We start from the raw sequence: 22,696 nt of genomic DNA, 5'->3' as shown, positions 1-22,696 counted from the left end.
AACAAATTTCTGTCATTAGAGAATGTTATACATTGATAGGCTTAAGGCTGGGTTCCTAAATTAATTACTGAATTAGAAGGGGATTGAATTAACATGATTGGCTCAAAATGATCAAATCCATCAGTTGAGCTGAGCTGTGATCAGTATCCCAAATTGCATGGCTGTTATGCAATGTGGGAGGGTAAGTGGTAGAATTCATATTAAAAGACAGCCACAATTTTATATCTGTGGCATTTTATATTTGTTACCCCATTTAATCCTTACCAGGGCCCGTGAGGTAGGTTGTTTGTGAAAGCGTCTTTTCCTGATCCTTAGTTGTTTGTGTTGCCTAACTCCCATGGTTTGAATGACATCTTAATTTAATACAACCTCCTGTTTTTGCAGAATGGTGGATTGGAGGCATTGTTAGCATGTCTCTCCCACTTAGAAAGACAAAATACTGTGTAGAGATTCATGCTGTGAACTTTTCTCCAAGAAGCAACACAGGAATTTAACAGGAAAACTGAAAAAAACAAAAAACAAACAAACAAAAACATAGACCCTTTGAAAGAAGCAGTGGGCAGCAACCTACACCCTAAGCCAGGTGGAAAACTGAGTCCCCAGAGTGTGAGTGGGGAGAGATTGCCTCCATGGTATATCCATAAGCCAGGCAGAAAACTGTGAGTCCCCAGAGTGTGAGTGGTGAGAGACTGCCTCCATGATATATACTCCCATTGGGGAACCTGCCCCAGGCCATGGAGGAAGGTCTTAACCCTATCTAGCACTGGAGCTGATTTAGTGAGTGGTAAAGAGTATATGAGAAGGAGCAGCATCAGCACATGCTTTGCATGCACTCCCAGACTCCACCGGGGACAGAGGAAAGCCATTCCAAATCCTACCTCACAGAAGTCAGTCAGTTAACTTAGGCAGCAGTCACAGGTTGAAAGAAGCTCCCAGTGGAGATTCACAATATAATCTTGAACAGGGATGAACCACTTTGGTGAGAACTGAGACAAGTGGGAAGTACTATAAGCCACAGGTGCAGGACCTGGGCACTCCAGGTCTGCAGGCCGACAGGGAGGGGTGTGGCTTGAAAGCCACCTTTACTGTCTTGGTAGGGAAGGCTTATGGCCTGGGGCAGTTTTGAGTGCTGAGCACAGGCTATCTGGAACCCACTTAGCTGCTGCAAGTGGAACACTGCAGGTGTGAGATGTGCCTTAACAAGTGTGTAGGGGCCAGGTGAGGCCTACTGCTATGTACTACCCCTGCTCACCATATGGATTCTTCTGCACAACAAAGGCAGCTGTGCTCCTCCCTGGAATGTTCCCTCAGAAGCCACAGAACTGCCCTTTGATCTCCACTAGAGCTGCTGCTTATGCTGGCATGTGGGAGGCCATAGTGTGGGACTTGATTGATCCAGCCACCACCTGGCTTTGCACCTCCATCTACCCTAGTATCTTAACACAAAGGGCAGGGACTTTGGGAAGTCCTATGACTCTGCCCATTGCCTGAGACACCAGAGTACCTACCCTGGGTAACATAAGAGGAGCACAAATCCCATCACTATCACTGCAGCTGACACTCTTTTGCAAGCACCGCCTCCTGGCTGGAGGCCAACTGACACAGTCCATTACAGCATCTGTTGGCACAAAAACACAGCTCCCCTGAAGGAGAAAACTTTTGGATGACCTCAGTTAGCACCATTGTGGGCATCACTCTGGCTAACCAGGAGGTCTTGAGTCTATTCACGTGACCAGCATATTACTACTACAGCTGGCATTTGAGAATAGCAACACATTAAGGCCATTTATAACCAAGAAAATCTCACAACCAAGAAAATCTCACAGAGTCTACATCACTCCCCTGCCACCCCCATCAGAACTTCTGCTGGTACCCACTACTGTGAGATTAGAGAACAGGTCCTATCACTGGATCCCTTCCAGACATTCCCCAGCACCATCCTGGAGAATGGCAGCCCCACTGGGTGGCTAGAATCAGAAGAGCAGCAGCAGGATTCACAGTAGTTTGGCCCTCAGGGATCCCTCCTCCTAGGGGAAGTGGGAATATACCACATCAAGGGAGCACCCCGTGAGACCAAAGAATCCAGACTGCAGGCCTTGAGTCCCAAAACTGTCTATTTGTGGGGAGTTTATTTCAGCAAAGGCACAACAGGTGCAGTGTGGGGCTCAGTGGAGAAAGTTTGTGCCTCTACTCCAACTGTCAGCTAGCCCTGGTGCTCATGAAGGAACCTGGGGAAGAAGACTTTTTCTTCCTGATATGGTTTGGTTGTGTCCCCACCCAAATCTTATCTTGAATTGTAGCTCCCATAATTCCCACATGTTGTGGGAGGAACCCAGTGGGAGATAACTGAATCATGGGAGCAGTTTCCCCCATTATGTTCTCATGGTAGTGACTAAGTATCACAAGATCTGATGGTTTTATAAGCGGAAACCCCTTTCACTTGGCTCTCATTCTCTCTTTGCTGGCCACTGTGTAAGACATCCCTTTGCTCTTCCTTCATGTTCCGCCATGAATGTGAGGCCTCCCCAGCCACGTGGAACTGTGAATCAACTAAACCTCTTTTCTTTATAAATTGCCCAGTCTTGGGTATGTCTTCCTCAGCAGTTTGAAAACAGACTAATACACTTCCTCTTGCCCATCACTGCAAACATAGCTGTGGCTTCTCCCACAAGAGCTTGGCATGGGTACACATGTAGAGAGGCTTCCTGGAACACTTTCGGGTGACTGCATCCCCACAGGAGGAGTGCCCTCCAGGTGCAGACTTACATGAGGGATAGAGTCATAGTCCTTTTCTACATGTAACATCACCATTCCTACAGAAGAAAAGGGATGCCTGTCTCATCTGAATAGCTAGAACACTGGGTCAGGAGTGTGACTGGGAGTTGGATCACTTTCCTGCTGGCCTGGTTGGGGAACTACAGTGGCTCCTCCCTTCACCCTGAAAAGACCTTAGTGCATTTCACTGAAAGCTTCTCCAGCTGCCTCTGTCAAGGTTAGGACCTCTGCCCATCACTGGATATTGCATTCCACACCTGCTTTAGCTGCAGCCTGTTTTTACCCATGAACACCTCCTACTGGCCTGAAGCCTGAACTGTTCAACCCAGTGAATAAAATACTGGGAAAATAAATAAATTAATTAATGAATTAATGTACACCACTGGGGAACAAAATAAGCTTTGTGACATCTTTGTCATTCTGGCCCCATAGGAGACAGTAAACCTGCTCACACACTGAGCACATTGCTACTATAACCAGCATCTGAGAAGGCCATCACACCAAGGAGTTCATACAGATGTTTCACACAGATTCTTCATCACTGAAAACACCAAGAGCTGAAATAGGCTAAAATAAACTATAAACATTACAGTCATATCCTCAAGAGGGAAAAACAGAAATTGAAAAACCACATTTGAATAAAAAATAAATTCAAGAAGTAATTAGAAGAAATGGTCTACCCAAATGAGAAGAAATCAGAAAAACAACTCTAGCAATATGTAAAAACATGATTCTATAACACCACAAAGATTCCACTGACTCTCCAGCGATGGATCCAAACTAAGATGAAATCTTTAAAATACCAGATAAAGAGTTCAAGAGGTTGATTATTAAGTTCCTCAAGGAAATACAAGAAAAAGGTGAAAAACAACACAATAAAATGTAAAAGAAAATCAGGTTATGAATGAAAGATTTCCTAAACAGATTGATATTTTAAAGAAAAAAAAAATCAGAACTCTGGAAACAAAAGACACATTTAGGGAATTACGAAATGCAGGGAAAAGTTTTAACATTAGACTAGACCATGTGGAATAAAGAATTCCAGAACTTGAAAACAAGGTTTTTGAATTAACCCAATCACACAAAAATAAAAAAAAAAAGAATGAAAAGAAACGAATAAAATCTCTAAGAAACATGGGATTATGTAAAAGGGCCAACCTAAGAATTATTGATGCTCCTGAGTGGGAAGAAAAAGCAAAAAGTTTTGAAAACTTATTTATTTGAGGGAATAATTAAGGAAAACTTCCCTGGCTTTGCCAGCAATTTAGATATTCAAATACAAAAACCTCAAACAACTCCTGGGAAATGCATTGCAAAAAGGCCAACACCAAGAGCTAAAGTCATCAGGCTATCTAAAATCAATGTGAAGAAAAGAATTCCAAGAGCAGTGTGAAAAAAGCATCAGGTAACCTACAAGGTAAAACCTTTTAGACTAACAGCAGACTTCTCAGCAGAAGCCTTATAAGCCAGAAAGGGCTATGGTCCTATTTTAGCCTCCTTAAACAGAATAACTATCAGCCAACAATTTTGTATCCAGTAAAGCTAAGTTTCATAAATGAAGGAAAAATAAACTGTTTCTCAGACAAGCAAATGCTAAGGGAATATGTCACTGTTTGACTATTAGCTAGTTTAACCAAGAAAAGAAGAGAGAAGATCCAAATAAGCTAAATTAGAAATGAAAATGGAGATGTTACAACCAACCCCAAAGAAATAAAAAATATCCTTCAAGACTACGAAGAACACCTCTTTGCAAACAAACTAGAAAATCTAGAGAAAATGAATACATTTCTTGAAACACACAACCCTCCTAGATTGAATCATGAAGACATAAAAATCCTGAATAAGCCAATCATAAGCAGTGAGATTGAATCAGTAATACAAAATTTGTCAAAAAAAAAAAAAAAAAAAAAGTCCAGGGCCAGATGGATTCACAGCCAAATTTTACGAGACATTCAGAGAACTGGTAACAATCCTACTGAAACTATTGCAAAAGATTGAGAAAGAGGGAATCCTCCCTATATCATATGAAGACAGTATCACCCTGAAACCAAAGCCAGGAAAAGACATAACAAAAAGGAAAATTACAGACCAATATCTCTGATGAACAGATAAAAAAAAAATTCAACAAAATACTAGCAAACTGAATCCAACAGCACATCAAAAAGATAATTCATCATGATCAAGTGGTATTCATCCCAGGGATGAATCAATGGCTCAACATATGCAAGTCAAAAAATGTGGTTCATCACACAAACAGAATTAAAGCAATAGCCATATGATTATCTCAATAGATGCAGATAAAGCAATCAATAAAATCCAGCATCCCTTTATGACATAAACCTCAACAAACTAAGCACAGAGGAAACATACCTCAAAATAATAAAAGCCATATATAACAAACCCAAAGCCAACATTCATGTTGAAGCATTCCCCCTAAGAATTGGAACGAGACAAAGATGTCCACTTTCATCACTTCTATTCAACACAGCATCGGAAGTCCTAGCCAGAGCACTCAAGCAAGAGAAATAATAAATAAATAAAGGGTACCCAAATTGGAAAAAAAGGAGTCAAACTATCTCTGTTTGCTGATGATGCGATAATATACCTAGGAAACCCCAAAGACTTCTCCAAAAGACTCCTAGATTTGATAAATGAATTTAGTAAAGTCTCAAGTTCCAAACACAATGTACACTGCTTTACACCAATAGTGTCCAAGCTGAGAATAAAATCAAGAACTCAATCCCTTTTACAGTAGCTGCAGAAAAATAAATCACCTAGGAATTTACTTAACAAAGAAGAGGAAAGATCTCTACAAGGAGAACTACAAAACACTGCTGAAAGATATCATAGATGACACAAACAAATGGAAATACACCTCATGCTCATGGCCTGGAAGAATCAATATTATGATAATGACCATACTGCCCAAAGCAATACACAGATTCAATGCAGTTCCTATTAAAATACTAACATTATCTTTCACAGAATTAGAACAAGCAATCATAAAATTCATATGGAACCAAAAAAACAGCCAAAGCAATCCTAAGCAAAAAGAACAAATCTAGAGGCATCACATTACTCAACATCAAATTCTACAAGGTTATAGTAAGCAAAGCAGCATGACACTGGTATAAAAGTAGATATATAGACCAATGGAAGAGAATAGAGAACTCAGAAATAAAGCCAAATACTTACAATCAACTGATCTTTGACAAAGCATACAAAAACATAAATTGGCAAAAGGACACCTTATTTAATGGTGTGGGGAGTTCTTTGTAGATTCTGGATATTAGCCCTTTGTCAGATGAGTAGACTGCAAAAATTTTCTCCCCTTCTACAGGTTGCCTGTTCACTCTGGATGGTAGTTTCTTTTGCTGTGCAGAAGCTCCTTAGTTTAAGTAGATCCCATTTGTCAATTTTGGCTTTTGTTGCCATTGTTTTTGGTGTTTTAGACATGAAGTTCTTGCCCATGCCTATGTCCTGAATGGTATTTGTAGGGACACGGATGAAGCTGGAAACCATCATTCTCAGCAAACTAGCGCAAGAACAAAAAACCAAACATCACATGTTCTCACTCATAGGTGGGAACTGAACAATGAGAACACTTGGACACAGGAAGGGGAACATCACACACCAGGGCCTGTTGTGGGGTGGGGGAAGGGTCAAGGGAAAGCATTAGGAGATATACCTAATGTAAATGATGAGTTAATGGGTGCAGCACACCAACATGGCACATGTATACATATGTAACAAACCTGCACATTGTGCACATGTACCCTAGAGCTTACAGTATAATAAAAAAAAATGGTGTGAGGAAAACTGGATAGCCCTATGTAGAAGAATGAAACTGGATCCCTATCTCTCATCATTTAAGAAAAATCAACTCAAGATGTATTAAAGACATAAATTTAAGACCTGAAACCATAAAAATTCTAGACGAAAACTTAGGAAAAACTCTTCTGGACACTGACCGAGGCAAAGATTCATGACTAAGACCCCAAAAGCAAATGCAACAAAAACAAAAATAAATAAGTGAGACTTAATTAAACTAAAAAGCTTCTGCATAGCAAATGAAATATTCATCAGAGCAAACAGACAACTCACAGAATGGGAGAAAATATTTGCAAAATATACATCAGATAAAGGACAAATATCTAGAATCTACAAGGAACTCACAGAAACCAGCAAGAAAAAAAAACCAATAATCCCATTAAGAAGTGAGCAAATGACATGAATACACATTTCTCAAGAGAAGATACAGAAATGGCCAACAAATGTATGAAAAAATACTCAACATCCCTAATTATCAGGGAAATGCAAATTAAAACCACAATGGGATACCACCTTACCCCAGCCAGAATGGTCATTATTAAAAAGTCAAAGAACAATAGATGTTGGCATGGATGTAGTGAAAAGGGAATGCTTATACACTGTTGGTGGGAATCCAAACCAGTACAGCCTCTATGGAAAAGGATACTACCTTACCCTGGCCAGAATGGTCATTATTAAAAAGTCAAAAAACAATAGATGCTGGCACGGATGTGGTGAAAAGGCAATGCTTATACACTGTTGGTGGGAATGCAAACCAGTATAACCTCTATGGAAAACAGTATGGAGACGTCTCAAAGAACTAAATGTAGAGCTACATTTGATCCAGCAATCCCACTACTGAGTATCTACCCCAAAGAAAAGAAGTCATTATATCAGAAAGACACTTGCATGTATATGTTTATCACAGCATAATTCACAATTGCAAAGATACGGAACCAACATAAGGGCCCATCAATTGAAAAGTGGATAAAAAAGTTATATATATATATACACACATGCATACATACATACACACACACACACACATACCATGGAATACTACTCAGCCATAAAAAGAATGAAATAATATATTTTGCAGCCACTTGGGTGGAACTGGAGGCCATTATTCTAAGTGAAGTAACTCAGGAATGGAAAACCTAACACTGCATGTTCTCACTTGGAAGTGGGAGCTAAGCTATGGGTATGCAAAGGCAGACAGAGTGGTATAATGGACACTGGAAACTTGGAAGCAGGGGAGGTGGGATGGGGTGAGGGATAAAAATCTACATGTTGGGTACAACGTACACTACTCAGTTAGAGGGTGAACTAAAATCTCAGGCTTCACCACACTGAAATTCATCCAAGTAACCAAAATCCACTTGTACCCTTAAAGCTATTGAAATAAAAAAAAAATTCTGTTAAAGCAATGAAAAGACGACAAGAAAGTTTTATGAGCTACAATATTTGAAAACTTCACCAAAGAACAGAAAAAAATCAAAATAAATAAATAAAAATAAAATCTGCTGAAATTTGGCCTTTTTCTTTCCCAATTTACTGTATCCCAGGAATTTGGGGATCAAAACCAAGAGGAGGGAGATTGTTCCTGGTATTCATGGCACACAGTACACACATTTGTGTTCTCATATATTTTACCTTATATTATTTCTCTCACTTGGATTTTCTTCTGTCCCATGATTGTTCAAACACTTTGAGGCCTAAATCAAGTATCAGTCCTCTGTAGTCTTCCCAGAACTCTCCTGTCAGTTTCTATCTAGTCTCTCATAGCAAAATTCTTAAAATTTTCAAAATATATAAAATCTGCTTTGCATTATAATTAAGTTTTTGTATCCCTCCCCACCCTGCCTCAAGAATATAGGTTGAAATGCTAGGCTTTTCTTTCTTTAGAGGGGGAAACTTCATAGACATTTTATTTAATGAAAATAGACTAATCTGAAATATGTAGGAGTTTATACGTTACTATGCTCAAGGAAGAATTTAAAATCAAGATTTAAACAGATAAGTAGAAAGGTATGAAGCTAAAGTTAATCTGCATAATTCTTGCCATACACTGTCATCCCCATTCTGAATCAAAGCTTTTTTGGATTTTTTCCACCTCCTTAAATAGGCCTGGTTCTTTCAACTCAGATACCTGCAAAAAAAATTAAGGATTCCTGTAGCCTTGAAGGCTCCTCTGAACACTCAGCTTTGAACTTTCAACTGAAAAGTTGGTTTCTTTTCCTTTTTTTTTCCATTTTCCTTTTTTTTTTTTTTTGAGATGGAGTCTTGCTGTGTCACCCAGGCAGGAGTGCAGTGGCCCGATCTCAGCTCACTGTAACCTTCACCTCCCGGGTTCAAGCTATTCTCCTGCCTTAACCTCCCGATTAGCTAGGATCACAGGTGTGCACCGCCATGCCCAGCTAATTTTTTTGTTTGTTTGTTTAGTAGAGACAGAGTTTTGCCATATTGGCCAGGCTGGTCTGGAACTCCTGACCCCAGGTAATCCACCCGCCTGGCCTCAGCCCCACAAAGTGCTGGGATTACAGGCATAAGCCACTGCCTCCGGCCTGAAAAGTCAGTAATTAAAGAGACCTTCCTATCCCCTAAGACTTGGTGACCCCACTCAATTTCATCCTACTATCACATTTGAGGTTATTCATTTAATGTCTCTCTTAAATGGTACAAGATGAACTTCTCCACTCATGCTAGGACTGCATTTATTTTACTACTAAATCTGTAGCACCTCATACTATGTATCATAATAGGTGTTAAATATAAGAATAAATAAATGAATTAGTGATGCCTGTACATTTGCTAAAGGCAGGCTGCACACTTGGTTCTAAGTTTGTAGTAGCCAAGAAAAAGAATTTTAAGATTCATAGTATCCTTAGGATAAAATAAAATAACGATTTCAGGACCAAGTAAGAGTTTGAGATAACTAATAAAAATCAAATAATAGCCGGGCGCGGTGGCACACGCCTCTAATCCCAGCACTTTGGGAGGCCGAGGCGGGAGGATCACTTGAGGTCAGAAGTTCGAGACCAGCCTGACCAATAAGGTGAAATCCCATCTCTACTAAAAATACAAAAATTGGCCGCGCCTGGGCGACAGAATGAGACTCCGTTTCAAAATAAATAAATAAATGCATAAATCTGAATTAACAGCATGCACATCACTGCTTTACTTTCTAAAAGGTGTAGGAATGCTTATTTTAATAAATGAAAAATGACTCTTCCCCTCTTTTAAATTTGTTTCTCTTCCCCTTTTTGTTAAAGTACAAAACAAAACACCTTCCCCCACTTTTCGAATAGTTTTGGCTGTGTCTTTAGGACTGGAAGGAAATTCAGCTCAAATGAATTACTATATTATGAACTTAAGTAAGAATTGTTGTGCATTTTGTACAGAATGCAACTCCTAGGAGTTGACAAATGTTTGTTAAGTGCATCAGTGAGCGACATAGGACCTTCTCCTCCCTACTCTCTTGTCACGGTTTTTATTTAATCAAACATTTATTATTGTTCGATGCTCTTAAATGCCATTTCCTTCAGCTGATTATTTGTATGACAGAAGAGTCAATTAAGCTATTTTGTCCTAAAAATTACGAAAACGAAATGTACAATTGTGAAGTAAAATTTTGTTCCTTTGCAAATTTTAATAAATTATTGAAGTTTATTTTTTGTTTCAAATAATCTGGGCTTCAGTTCTAATAATGGAAGGACAATGTGAAGGCCCAGAATTCAGCATAGCGCCTGGCATTAATAGGAGGTCAGTACATTTTTAGTACATGTTTCTCAAATAGATCTTAAAATTTCATTTAAGAGCGTTTCCTCACGTCACAGTATGTCTCTGGCGTTACTTAATTTTGAAAAACCTCAACACAGATTCTAGTTTTAGGCAAAGCTCAGAAAATTTCTACTTAAGGATATTTCCAAAGCGAAAGGAAGCGCGGAGACGTTCATGACTGGCATCATCTCGCACGTGGTTCCGGAAATTCTCGGTAGGATGCCCTACATCTGCTCTCCCTCCACTAAGAAGAACCTCTTTGTGTGGCGAAAGTAAAAGTATTAGGGCTTTTAAGTTGCCCAGAGTCAAGGAACACGGATAAAGACGCTGGGAGATTGACATGCATTTCGACCAATAGCATTGCAGAGAGGCGTATCATTTCGCGGATGTTCCAATCAGTACGCAGAGAGTCGCCGTCTCCAAGGTGAAAGCGGAAGTAGGGCCTTCGCGCACCTCATGGAATCCCTTCTGCAGCACCTGGATCGCTTTTCCGAGCTTCTGGCGGTCTCAAGCACTACCTACGTCAGCACCTGGGACCCCGCCACCGTGCGCCGGGCCTTGCAGTGGGCGCGCTACCTGCGCCACATCCATCGGCGCTTTGGTCGGCATGGCCCCATTCGCACGGCTCTGGAGCGGCGGCTGCACAACCAGTGGAGGCAAGAGGGCGGCTTTGGGCGGGGTCCAGTTCCGGGATTAGCGAACTTCCAGGCCCTCGGTCACTGTGACGTCCTGCTCTCTCTGCGCCTGCTGGAGAACCGGGCCCTCGGGGATGCAGCTCGTTACCACCTGGTGCAGCAACTCTTTCCCGGCCCGGGCGTCCGGGACGCCGATGAGGAGACACTCCAAGAGAGCCTGGCCCGCCTTGCCCGCCGGCGGTCTGCGGTGCACATGCTGCGCTTCAATGGCTATAGAGAGAACCCAAATCTCCAGGAGGACTCTCTGATGAAGACCCAGGCGGAGCTGCTGCTGGAGCGTCTGCAGGAGGTGGGGAAGGCCGAAGCGGAGCGTCCCGCCAGGTTTCTCAGCAGCCTGTGGGAGCGCTTGCCTCAGAACAACTTCCTGAAGGTGATAGCGGTGGCGCTGTTGCAGCCGCCTTTGTCTCGTCGGCCCCAAGAAGAGTTGGAACCCGGCATCCACAAATCACCTGGAGAGGGGAGCCAAGTGCTAGTCCACTGGCTTCTGGGGAATTCGGAAGTCTTTGCTGCCTTTTGTCGCGCCCTCCCAGCCGGGCTTTTGACTTTAGTGACTAGCCGCCACCCAGCGCTGTCTCCTGTCTATCTGGGTCTGCTAACAGACTGGGGTCAACGTTTGCACTATGACCTTCAGAAAGGCATTTGGGTTGGAACTGAGTCCCAAGATGTGCCCTGGGAGGAGTTGCACAATAGGTTTCAAAGCCTCTGTCAGGCCCCTCCACCTCTGAAAGATAAAGTTCTAACTGCCCTGGAGACCTGTAAAGCGCAGGATGGAGATTTTGAAGTACCTGGTCTTAGCATCTGGACAGACCTCTTATTAGCTCTTCGTAGTGGTGCATTTAGGAAAAGACAAGTTTTGGGTCTCAGCGCAGGCCTCAGTTCTGTATAGGCAATGCTGTGTTATTACTTGAATATAGAATATATAGTTTACAAAATGAAAATTACAATGTTCTCACCAAATATATGCCTTCGTGTGTCCAAAGTATAATTATTTTAGATGCTAATTTTGAATAGTTTATTAAACAGTTATAAATATGCAAAGTAGCTGGCATGTAGTGTCACGGATTTTCTGGATAGAGGAAGTGATTGGAAGTACTCCACTTAAAGCCATGGAATTAGCAATAGTTTGCTTTTTAATAGAAGGCCCATTTGTAAGAATGTTGAAAATATGTGTACCGTTTAAAGAAAAAGCAGCTTTAAAGTGACAAACAAAATACCCTTTTTCTTTTAGTATGGTTTATTTTTCTAGGTTTTCTGTCCCTCCCTCAGTAGTGAAGAGTTTTCTTTATTCCTGGCAGTGTCAGGAATATTGGTTTGAAAAGCTGTTGGCCTATCTGGAGTTTGGCCTTGTTAACCTAGTATTCTAACCAGTTAACCAGCCTTAGTATGCATTAAAATTGTATTGTTCAGAAAGTTTGTTTCTCATTTTCTGCAAATTCTTACTTTGAAAATGAATCACCACATAGTATGTCCCTTTAAAGCATTGACGCACAGACAAATGTTTAAAGCACAGTAAATACGAATATATGCCTTTGGATATTAAATTAATGCTTGATGATAAAAGAATCAAACTTTTTTTTTTTTGAGATGGAGTCTCGCTCTGTCACCCAGACTGGAGTGCAGTGGTGTGATCACTGCTCAGTGCAACCTCTGCCTCCCAGGATCAAGCAATTCTGACTCAGCCTCCCAAGTAGCTGGGATTACAGGCGCAGGCCACCATGCCCGGCTAATTTTTTGTATTTTTAGTAGAGACGGGGTTTCACCATGCTGGCCAGGCTGGTCTCAAACACCTGACCTTGTGATCCGTCCGCCTTGGCCTCCCAAAGTGCTGGGATTACAGGCGTGAGCCACCGCGCCTGGCCAAAACAACATTTTAAGTAGAAGATCCAGGTTTTAGTGCAGCTTCTGCCGTTAACTAGGTTAATAAATCACAACCTTGGGGCCACAGTTGCCTTATATGTAAATGAAGTGTTTAGAATAAAATAGTTAAATTTCCTTATTTTTCCCTTGGTGGCTGCCCTGTGGAAACAGTTTAGAATATTTGTTTTGTGTGTAGGAACCTAGTTGTGTTAGTTTACCTGGGTGTTCCACAGCTGATAGTGATTGCCTTGAATAAATTCAAGGGCAATTTATTCATTTTTACTAGGGAGATAGACCTTTACAGCAATCAAGATATTTTTGTCCATATCCAGGTTAGCTGGTAAGAGGATTTTTTTGGAGAAAAAAATGATATTTAGAAAGTTAATTTCTAATTCCGGAATGGAATAAAAACAATATGAGTAGTGTAATCTTGTAGAAAAAGAGTTGTATAATCTTGTAGAATTTCTCATTCTGTGGTACAACCCAGGGGTAAACTATTATTCCAGTAGTCAGTACACTTTTCTAGATAAATCTTGAGTGAAAACCAGCAATTTCTTTTTCCTTGTGGTCTGATTCCTTTTTCTAATCCATGAAGGCCATCTTGTAGATTACATTTATCATTAATGCAAGAATAAAGACAATTCCTCCTGTCAGTTGCGTGAATTTTTTTTAAGAAACAACCCAGTGAAGAGTTCTACCATAGCAAGGCCTAATGTTAGCTTTAGCTTTAGAAAATAACAGTTTGTGAACTTACTTCCCTATATTTGCAGCTGTATCTCACACTATGATTTACAATAAAATTGTAAAGATTGACAATAGACTTAAGAAATAACATTTTAAAATCTATTTTATACTTACCATTTATTATTCTGTTATTTTAGTCTCCATATGTTCATTACATACATAATCTTATTTAATCTTCACACCAAAACTGTATTCTTATGAATATACGCTAAAAGATTAAGTAAAATGCCCAAGGGTATAAACAAAAGCAACATGAAAGTGGAAGCCGTATCTGTCATTTATTTTATTTCCAGAAGCCTAGCACAGTGTCCAGCATATGGTAGATACTTGTAGTGTTTGAATAAATGAAACCAGCATTAGAGCTTTATATACTTTCTCTTAAGGACTTGAAAAGATTAGGAATCTACGCATACACTGAGAGAGAAAAAAGTGAGAGGAAGACTATAAAAATAGAATATTTGATAACTTCTTTATAAAATCTAGAGATATTTATTTTGTGTTTTTTCCCTATGTCCTATCAAATGAGGGAGCACTATTGAAATCTCCCATTGTAACATTGTTTCAGGAAATTTTATCAATTATCATCTTATGTATTTTGAGCAATTTTATGACATGCAAACAAATATAGAATCGTTATATCATCTTAATGAATTGAACCTTTTGTTTGTAGTGACTGCTTTTCTGCTTTAAAGTCTATTTTTTTCTATTATCATTGTCATATATTAACACTGTATGATTGGACTTTTTCCTGCTATCCTATTTTGTGCTTTCCACTTCCTTTGATTTCTCTATGTTTCACTTCTCAGTTCTTTAATTGACTAAATATTTGTTTGTCTTCTTATTTCATGATATTTTCCCCTCTACCAGTTAGGATGTTAATTCTATACCCATGCTTTTACTCTCAAAACTTACCATATTTAACTTAAAAATATCTAATATTAGTATCTTAACCCTCCTTCTTAATGATACTATGGACCTTAGGAAACTTTAACCCTGATCTCTTATCTATAAACTCTCAAGTTATTATCCAGTGTTTTGGTTTAACAATTTTGTTTCCCATGATTGTACCTCAAATTCCCTTGGAGAAGGTCTCTTGGTGGTAAACTCAGTTTTTATTTACTAAGATCGTTCCTTGTTGTTGTTGGAAGGTAGTTTTGCTGTGTTCCTGATTTCAGGTTAACATGTTAAAGATATTAACTCTTTTCTGGTTTTCATTGTTGATAAGAAAGCTATTCGTCTACTTGTGGTTATTTTGTAGAGTGATTTCTTCTTTCTGTTTATTTTAAGGTGGTCCCGATTTCAGTATCTATAGTCACTTCAGAATATCTAATTGTAAATTTCTGTTTTTCTTGCTTGTTTTATGTTGTGTTTCATTTATGTGTGGATATGTGTTTTTCTTCATTCTGAAAAATTTCCAGCCATTTTTCCCCAATATTTCCTTTCTTCCACTTTTTAAAAATCATTCCTGTCACTTTGATCGGGCCTATATTAGATCTTAGATCTTCTCACACTACTCATATCATGTAACCGCTCTGTCCCAGTTTCTATCTCCATATCATTCTATTTTGCTTTGGAAATTGCTGTTATATCCCAAGATCAATATTCCCCATCTTCATTTTAGCCTACCACCAGGTTTTAGCTGAAAATGGCCACCCAGATAGAGAGTAAATTTCCCAATTTCTCCTACAGTTACATGTGGCGATAATGCTAGGTTTTGGTTACTTTTATATAAGCAGAAGTGATATGTACAACTTAATATTCATTCCCTAGAAATCTGAAGTTATTTGCCCTTAATACTCTGCTTCTCCCTTTTAATGGGCTAGAAAGTTAATTTGCTGCTAGTTTGCTGCTACCTTGAATCATATGGCTGAAGATGACTGGGACAATTGCTGTAGACCCAAAGATGAAGTCACATGTACAGAATGGCAAAACAGAGCCCACCTACCTAGCTTGTCCTGTTAATATAGGAGAGGAATACACCTTTCTCTTATGAACACTGCTCGGGATGTCTTATGTCATCAACATTGCCTATAACCCTAAGTAGTATTGGTATAGTCTTGATAATTCTGTCTGATCTGAGGTTTAAGCTATCAATTGGTTTTAAATTTCAGTGATTTTTAAAAAGTCTTATTTGGCTTTTTTTCTCCTAATATGCCTGTTTACCTTTTAGTAATCTCATATGGCATGCTTTTTGTGATTCTGTTTTCATTTTTTATCATTGTTATTTTATCATCTATTAATTATTTCACAACCTGAAGTATTGAGGATCTAAACCTATTCTGTTGATTCTCACTCATGACGGCTTATTTCTTTACATCTTTTGTAATTTCCTATTGTGTGTTCACATGTGTTTGGTTATACTCTATGTAAACCTAGGAGTCTAAATAGGGTATTCTTTGCCCAATGAGGGCATTTTTAAATGCTTCTGCTGGAGAAATAGAGAACCCCCCCTAACCTAGGACTACTTTGGTTTATTGTAAGAGTTTTGGCTTGAGTTTTTCTACCTTATGTCTTGCTCAAAGCATATTTTCTGAATCTTACTTGCTTACTACTCAGATCTCCCTGTTTTGGAGAAACAGATATGAAGGGGTGGCTTGGAAATTTCCTTTATTTTCTGAAATCCCAACAAAACATTCAAAGAATGTTATATTGAGAATCTATTTGTTTTGTAGCAGCTGGGCCCTGTGGAATATCTAGTTATTGATTTGCTAAAAGTGGAAGTCCTCTTTCCCTTTAACCCACACCAACCTAACTTCTGCCATCAACACTTCTCTGAAATAAGTCTTGTCAAGCTCACCAATCACCTGCATGATGCTAAATTCAAAGGACACTGTATTAGTCCATTTTTACACTGCTATAAAGAACTTCCCAAGACAGGGTAATTTGTAAAGGAAAGAGGTTTAATTGACTTACAGTTCCACATGGCCTGGCAGGCCTCAGGAAATTTACAATCATGGCGGAAGGTGAAGAAGAAGCAAGTACCTTCCTTACAAGGCTGTAGGAGAGAGAGAGAGAGAGAGAGAGAGAGAAGGAGGAAGTGGCACACTTTTAACTCATCAGGTCTCACGAGAACTCACTATCATGAGAACTCCCTACCACAAGAACAGCATGGGGAAAACTGTCCCCACAATCTGATCACCTCCCACCAGGTCCCTCCCTCAACACGTGGGGATTACAATTCAAGATGAGATTTGGGTGGGGACACAGAGCCAAACCATATCAGACACTTTTCTGGTATTCAGTTACTTGACTCTCAGCAGCATTAAATACCATGGCCTATCCCCTCTTTTTTGAAACTGGGCTTGGAATTCTATTCTTATAACTTATATGATACCACTCTATTCTAGTTTCCTCTTACCTCTCCAGCAATGTTTTCAGAGTCTATTTTTCTGGCTCCTCTTCTCCTAATCATCCTTTAAATATTCACGATTTCTCAGTGTTTAATAACTCTGCTGCCTCTTTTGTGTAGTGCTCTCACCCCGTGTGATCTCATCCATTTCTGTGGCGTTAAATACTACCTATATGCTATGAATTTCACAATTTATATCTTTAGTCTGGAGGTCTCATCATAGCTTCAGGACCAATATCCCCACTTGAATGTCTCACAAGCCTCTCAAACCAAACATCCAAACCAACTCTAAATATCAGGAAGAGGGTGGAGCAAGATGGCCGAACAGAAACCAATCATTCCCTTGCCTCCCCAGCAAGGACACTGAGTTAACATATGTACACAGAAAAAACATCTTCATAGCAACCAAAAATCAGGTGAGAACTCATAGTATCTGGTATTAACTACATATTGCCAAAAGAGGTACTGAAGTGATTAAAAAACAGTCCTGAATCACAAATGCCACCCCTTCCTCACCCCAGGCAGCAGCAGCCTCTGAGCACTGGGGGAGGGAGAACACAGCAATTGTAAAGCAGTGAACTCAGTGCTGTCCTGTTACAGCAGAAAGGAAAACTGGACCACACTCATCCTTCCCACAGAGGGAGAATTTAAACCAGCCCTAGTGGGAACCTGAATTCCTGCAACTCTCACCACCATGGGCTAGAGGCTACGGCACTCTGTGTCTCCAAGTAAACTTGAAAGGCAATCTAGGCCATAAACTCTTAGGCAAGTCCTTGTGTTGAGTTAGGCCCATAGACAATGGACTGGAAGGGCACACGGCATACAGATAAACCAGCTGGGGCAGCCAAGGGAGTTCTGTCGTCACTCCTCCCCTAACCTCAGGTGGCACAGCTCATGACTCCAAAAGAGACCCTTCCCTTTCACTTGAGGAGAAGAGAGGGAAGAGTGGGGAGGACTTTGTTTTGCCTGTAGGATCCCAGCCCAGCCACAACAGAATAAGGGACTGGTCAGAGTAGTGAGGCCCCTGTTCCAGACACTACCTCCCAGGTGACATTTCTAGATACACTCTGGGCCAGAAGGGAATGGAACCTGCTGCCTTGAAGGAAAGGACCCACTACTGGCAGCATTTATCACCTGCTAACTGAAGAGCCCTTGGGCCCTGAATAACCAACAGTGATACCCAGGCACTATATCAAGGGCCTTGGTGAGCCTCTGAGATTTGCTGGCTTCAGGTGAGACTCTGTACATAACCAGCAATGGTGGCTAGGGGGCAAAAATCTTCTACTTAAGAAAAGCTGAGGGAAAAGTAAAGGGGACCTTTTTTCCCACATGTTGGGTACCAGCAAGGGGAGGAAGGGACTAAGTGTGATCCTGAGGTCTTTGATTCTAGGACTTGACTCTTGGATGAATTTTTGGACCTGCCCTGGGCCAGAGGGAAGCTCACTGCTCTGAAGGACGAGTCCCAGGCCAGGCAGTATTCACAACACACTTAAGAGACTTTGGGCCTTAAGGGAATATCGAGAGTAGTCTGCCAGTACTCCTCATGGCCTGGGGTGGCAGTGGCTGTGGGATGAGGCTTCTCTGCCCTTAGAAAGGGGAGGGGAGAGTGGTAAGGACTGCCTTGTGTGGCTTGAATGCCAGCTCAGCTGCAATACTTTAGAACACTAAATAGGCTCCTAAAGTTTTTGATTTTCGTCCCCGACTCCCAAATGGCACTTCTGGACCCACCCAGCGCTTGGGACACCTTGCTGCACTGAAGGGACGGACACAGGCCTGGCTGGCTTTACCATCTGCTGAATGTAGTACCCCAGGGCATTGAGCAAACACAGGCAGTAGACAGGGAGTGGTTTTAGCAGGCCTTGGGTGAGACCTAGTGCTGTGCTGGCTTCAGGTCTAACCTTCTGCAGTCATGGTGGTGGACACAGAGGTGTTTGTGTCACTCTATCCCCAGGTTTAGGTGGCTCAGAAAAGAGAGAGAGAAAGAGAGACCCTGTATATTTAGGAGAAAGTAAGGGAAGGAAACAAGAGCCTTTGCCTGGTAATCCAGATAACTCTCCTGGATCTCATCCAAAACCATCAAGGCAGCACCTGTATGAGTCTACAAGAATCACAACATTGCTGGGATTGAGGTGCCCACTAACGCAGATATAGTTTAGATCACAAACCCAAGTCCTTTTAAATATCTGAATAGCCTTCCCAAGAAGGACAGCTAAAAATAAGCCCAGACAGTGAAGACTACAATAAATACCTAACTCATCAATGCCCGGACACCAAAGAACATCGGCTAGCCTCAACAGCATGTAGGAAAACATGATCTTACTAAATGAACTAAATAAGGCACCAAGGATCAATTCTGGAGAAATAGAGATATGTGACCTTTCAGACAGAGAATTCAAAATAGCTGTGTTGAGGAAACTCAAAGAAATTCAAGATAACACAGAGAAGGAATTCGGAATTCCAGCAGATAAATTTAACAAAGAGATTGAAATAATTAAAAAGAATCAGGCAGAAATTCTAGTGCTGAAAAATGCAATTAGTGTACTAAAGAATGTGTCAGAGTCCTTTAATAGCAGAATGATTCAAGCACAGAAAAGAATTGGTGAGCTTGAAGACAGGTTAATTGAAAATACACAGTCAGAGGAGACAAAAGAAAAAAGAATAAAAAGTAATGAAGCATGCTTACAGAATCTAGAAAATAGCCTCAAGGGGCAAATCTAAGAGTTATTGGCCTTAAAAAGGAGGTAGAGAAAGAGATGGGAGGAGAAAGTTTATTCAAAGGGATAAGAACAAAAAACTTCCCAAACCTAGAGAAAGATATCAATATCCAGCTATAAGAAGGTTATAGAACACCAAGTAGATTTAACCGAAAGAAGACTCAAGGCATTTAATGATAAAACTCTCAAAGGTCAAAGATAAAGCGTTCTAAAAGCAGCAAAATAAAAACAAATAATATACAACGGAGCTCCAATATGTCTGGCAGAAGACTTTTCATTAGAAACTTTACAAGCCAAAAGAGAGTGCCATGAAATATTTAAAGTGCTGAAGAAAAAAAAAAAAGGCTTTTACCCTGGAATAGTAAATCTGGTGAATATAGCTTTCAAATACGAAGATAAAATAAGACTTTCCCAGACAGACAAAAATGAGGGATTTCATCAATACCAGACCTGTCCTACGAGAAATGCTAAAGTACTTCAATCAGAAAGAAAATGATACTAATAAGCTGTAAATAATCTCCTGAAGGTAAAAACTCACTGGTACGAGTAAGTACACAGAAAAACACAGAATATTATAACATAGTAACTGTGGTGTGTAAATTACTATTGTCCTAAGTGGAAAGACTAACTGATGAACTAATCAAAAATAATAACTACAACAACTTTTCAGGACATAATCAATACAATAAGATATAAATAGAAACAATAAAAAGTTAAAAAAGGGGGGATAAAGTTGAAGCATAGGACTTTGATTAGTTTTCTTTTTGCTTGTTTGTTTATGCAAATAGTGTTAAGTTATTATCAGGTTAAAATAATGACTTATATGATAGTATATGTAAGCCTCATGGTAACCTCAAACAAACAAACAAACAAAAAAAACATACAATGGATACACAAAAAATAAAAAGCAAGAAACTAAATCATATAACCAGAGAAAATCACCTTCACTAGTTGAAGACAGGAAGAAAACAAAGAAGGAAGAGATTACAAAGCAACCAGAATGTCAGGTGTAAATCCTCACTTAATAATAACCTTGAATGTAAATGAGCAAAACTCTCCAATCAAAAGACATAGACTGGCTGAATTGATGAAAAAACAAGACCCATTGATTTGTCCCCTACAAGAAACACGCTTCACCTATAAAAATACACATAGACTGAAAATAAGAGTGCCAACAGAAACTAAAACAGAGCAGCAGTTGCAATCCTTTTATCAGACAAAATAGATTCCAAGACAAAAACTGTAAGGAGAGACAAAGAAGGTCATTCTAAAATGATAAAGGGGTCAATTCAGCAAGAGTATATAACAGTTTTAAATATATATGCACCCAACCCTGGAGCATCCAGATATAAAAAGGAAATATTAGAGCCAATGAGAGACATAGGCCACAGTACAATAGCTGGAGATTTTAATGCCCCACTTTCAGCATTGGACAGATCTTCCAGACAAAACGTCAGTAAAGATACATCAAACTTATTCTGCACTATAGACCAAATGAATCTAACAGACCTTTATAGATTCTTTAGATTTCTATAAATTCTTTTCCTTAGCACATGAATCATTCTCAAGGATGGACTATATGTTAATCACAAAACAAGTCTTAAAATATTAAAAAAAAAAACTGAAGTAACATCAAGCATCTTCTCTGACCACAGTGGAATAAAACTAGAAATTAATAATGAAAGGAATTTTGGAAACTATACAAATACATGAAAATTAATAATATGCTCCTGAATGAACAGTGGGTCAATGAAGAAACAGAGAAGGAAATTGAAAAAAAATTCAAAAAAAAAATAATGGAAATACGACATACAAAAACCTATGGGACACAGCAAAAGCAGTACCCAGTGGGATGTTTATAAGTGCCTACATCAGAAGAAAAATTTCAAATAAACAATATTGCAATACATCTTAAAGAACTAGAAAAGCAAGAGCAACTCAAACCCAAAATTAGTAGAAGTAAAGAAATAATAAAGATCAGAACAAAAATAAATGAAATTGAAATTAAAAATATATATATCAATGAAACAAAAAGTTGTTTTTTTGAAAAGTTAAATAAAATTAACAAACCTTTAGCCAGACTAAGAGAAAAAGAGATCCAAATAAATAAAACCAGAAATGTAAAAGGAGACATTAAAACTGATACTGCAGAAATTCAAAGAATCATTAGTGTCTACTATGAGCAACTATTTTCCAATAAATTGGAAGATCTAGAAAAAATGGGAAAATTCCTAGATACATACACGCTGCCAAGATTGAATCAGGAAGAAATCCAAAACCTGAATAGACCAATAAAAAGTAATGAGATTGAAACTGCAGTAAAAACTCTCCCAGTAAAGAAAAGCCTGGGACCCAATGAATTCTTTGCTGAATTCTAACAAACATTTAAAGAACTAACAATCCTACTCAAATATCCTGAAAAATAGAGGAACAGAGAATACTTCCAAACTCATTCTACAAGACCAGTATTACCCAGGTACCAAAACCAGACAGACATATCAAAAAAAAAAAAAAGAAAAAAAAAGAAAAAGAAAAAAGAAACTACAGGCCAATATCTCTGATGAATATTAATCCTCAACAAAATGCTAGCAAACCAAATTAAACAATACATTAGAAAAAGCATTCCTCATGACCAAGTAGGATTTATTCCTGTGATGCAAGGATGGTTCAATATATACAAATCAATCAATGTGATGCATCGTATCAAGAGAATGATAAAAACCGCAGGATCATTTCAATTGATGCTGAAAAAGCATTTGATAAAATTCAGTATCCGTTCATGATAAAAACCTTCAAAAAACGGGATACAGAAGGAACATACCTCAACATAGTAAAAGTCATATATGACAGACCCACATCTAGTATAATACTGAATGGGGGAAAACTGAAAGCCTTTCCTCTAAGACCTGGAACATGACAAAGATGCCCACCATCACCACTGTTATTTAACATAATACTGAATGTCCTAGCTA

The 22,696-nt window shown here is 39.4% G+C and overlaps 2 protein-coding genes across 4 annotated transcripts in view, besides 7 other annotated features; one reads left to right on the top strand and one right to left on the bottom strand.

The window, feature by feature from the left end:
* Positions 1-10,630, bottom strand: part of GAS2 (growth arrest specific 2) — a 187,054-nt gene extending 176,424 nt beyond the window's left edge. For all 3 annotated transcript variants that reach the window (XM_047426745.1, XM_011519972.4, XM_047426746.1), the window contains exon 1: positions 8,239-10,630. The gene's annotated coding sequence lies outside the window, so the exon portion shown is untranslated. The remainder of the gene's footprint in view (positions 1-8,238) is intronic.
* Positions 844-1,608: an enhancer, noted in NCBI's record as "NANOG-H3K27ac hESC enhancer chr11:22656570-22657334 (GRCh37/hg19 assembly coordinates)". NCBI's record gives its function as "activates a minimal SCP1, AML or CMV promoter by ChIP-STARR-seq in naive H9 embryonic stem cells {active_cell/tissue: H9 hESC(naive)}" and the evidence as "EXISTENCE:reporter gene assay evidence [ECO:0000049][PMID:30033119]".
* Positions 10,346-11,245: an enhancer, noted in NCBI's record as "NANOG-H3K27ac hESC enhancer chr11:22646933-22647832 (GRCh37/hg19 assembly coordinates)". NCBI's record gives its function as "activates a minimal SCP1, AML or CMV promoter by ChIP-STARR-seq in primed H9 embryonic stem cells {active_cell/tissue: H9 hESC(primed)}" and the evidence as "EXISTENCE:reporter gene assay evidence [ECO:0000049][PMID:30033119]".
* Positions 10,346-11,319: a biological region, named in NCBI's record as "NANOG-H3K27ac hESC enhancer GRCh37_chr11:22646933-22647832".
* On the top strand, positions 10,809-14,099 carry FANCF (FA complementation group F). The gene has a single exon (NM_022725.4). It carries the CDS (start codon positions 10,822-10,824, stop codon positions 11,944-11,946), a length of 1,125 nt encoding a protein of 374 aa, NP_073562.1. The 5' UTR covers positions 10,809-10,821; the 3' UTR covers positions 11,947-14,099.
* Positions 10,830-11,019: an enhancer, noted in NCBI's record as "active region_4536". NCBI's record gives its function as "activates an Ori minimal core promoter by ATAC-STARR-seq in GM12878 lymphoblastoid cells {active_cell/tissue: GM12878}" and the evidence as "EXISTENCE:reporter gene assay evidence [ECO:0000049][PMID:35858748]".
* Positions 11,110-11,319: an enhancer, noted in NCBI's record as "active region_4535". NCBI's record gives its function as "activates an Ori minimal core promoter by ATAC-STARR-seq in GM12878 lymphoblastoid cells {active_cell/tissue: GM12878}" and the evidence as "EXISTENCE:reporter gene assay evidence [ECO:0000049][PMID:35858748]".
* Positions 11,700-11,749: an enhancer, noted in NCBI's record as "active region_4534". NCBI's record gives its function as "activates an Ori minimal core promoter by ATAC-STARR-seq in GM12878 lymphoblastoid cells {active_cell/tissue: GM12878}" and the evidence as "EXISTENCE:reporter gene assay evidence [ECO:0000049][PMID:35858748]".
* Positions 11,760-11,919: an enhancer, noted in NCBI's record as "active region_4533". NCBI's record gives its function as "activates an Ori minimal core promoter by ATAC-STARR-seq in GM12878 lymphoblastoid cells {active_cell/tissue: GM12878}" and the evidence as "EXISTENCE:reporter gene assay evidence [ECO:0000049][PMID:35858748]".

The sequence above is a fragment of the Homo sapiens genome, chromosome 11 (genome assembly GCF_000001405.40).
Source record: "Homo sapiens chromosome 11, GRCh38.p14 Primary Assembly".
Classification (NCBI taxonomy): Eukaryota; Metazoa; Chordata; class Mammalia; order Primates; family Hominidae; genus Homo; species Homo sapiens.
This window is presented reverse-complemented; position numbering and strand designations above follow the sequence as displayed.

What these genes read in the sequence shown, in the direction of transcription:
- FANCF (NM_022725.4), top strand. Translation starts at nt 10,822, where the DNA reads ATGGAATCCCTTCTGCAGCACCTGGATCGCTTTTCCGAGCTTCTGGCG.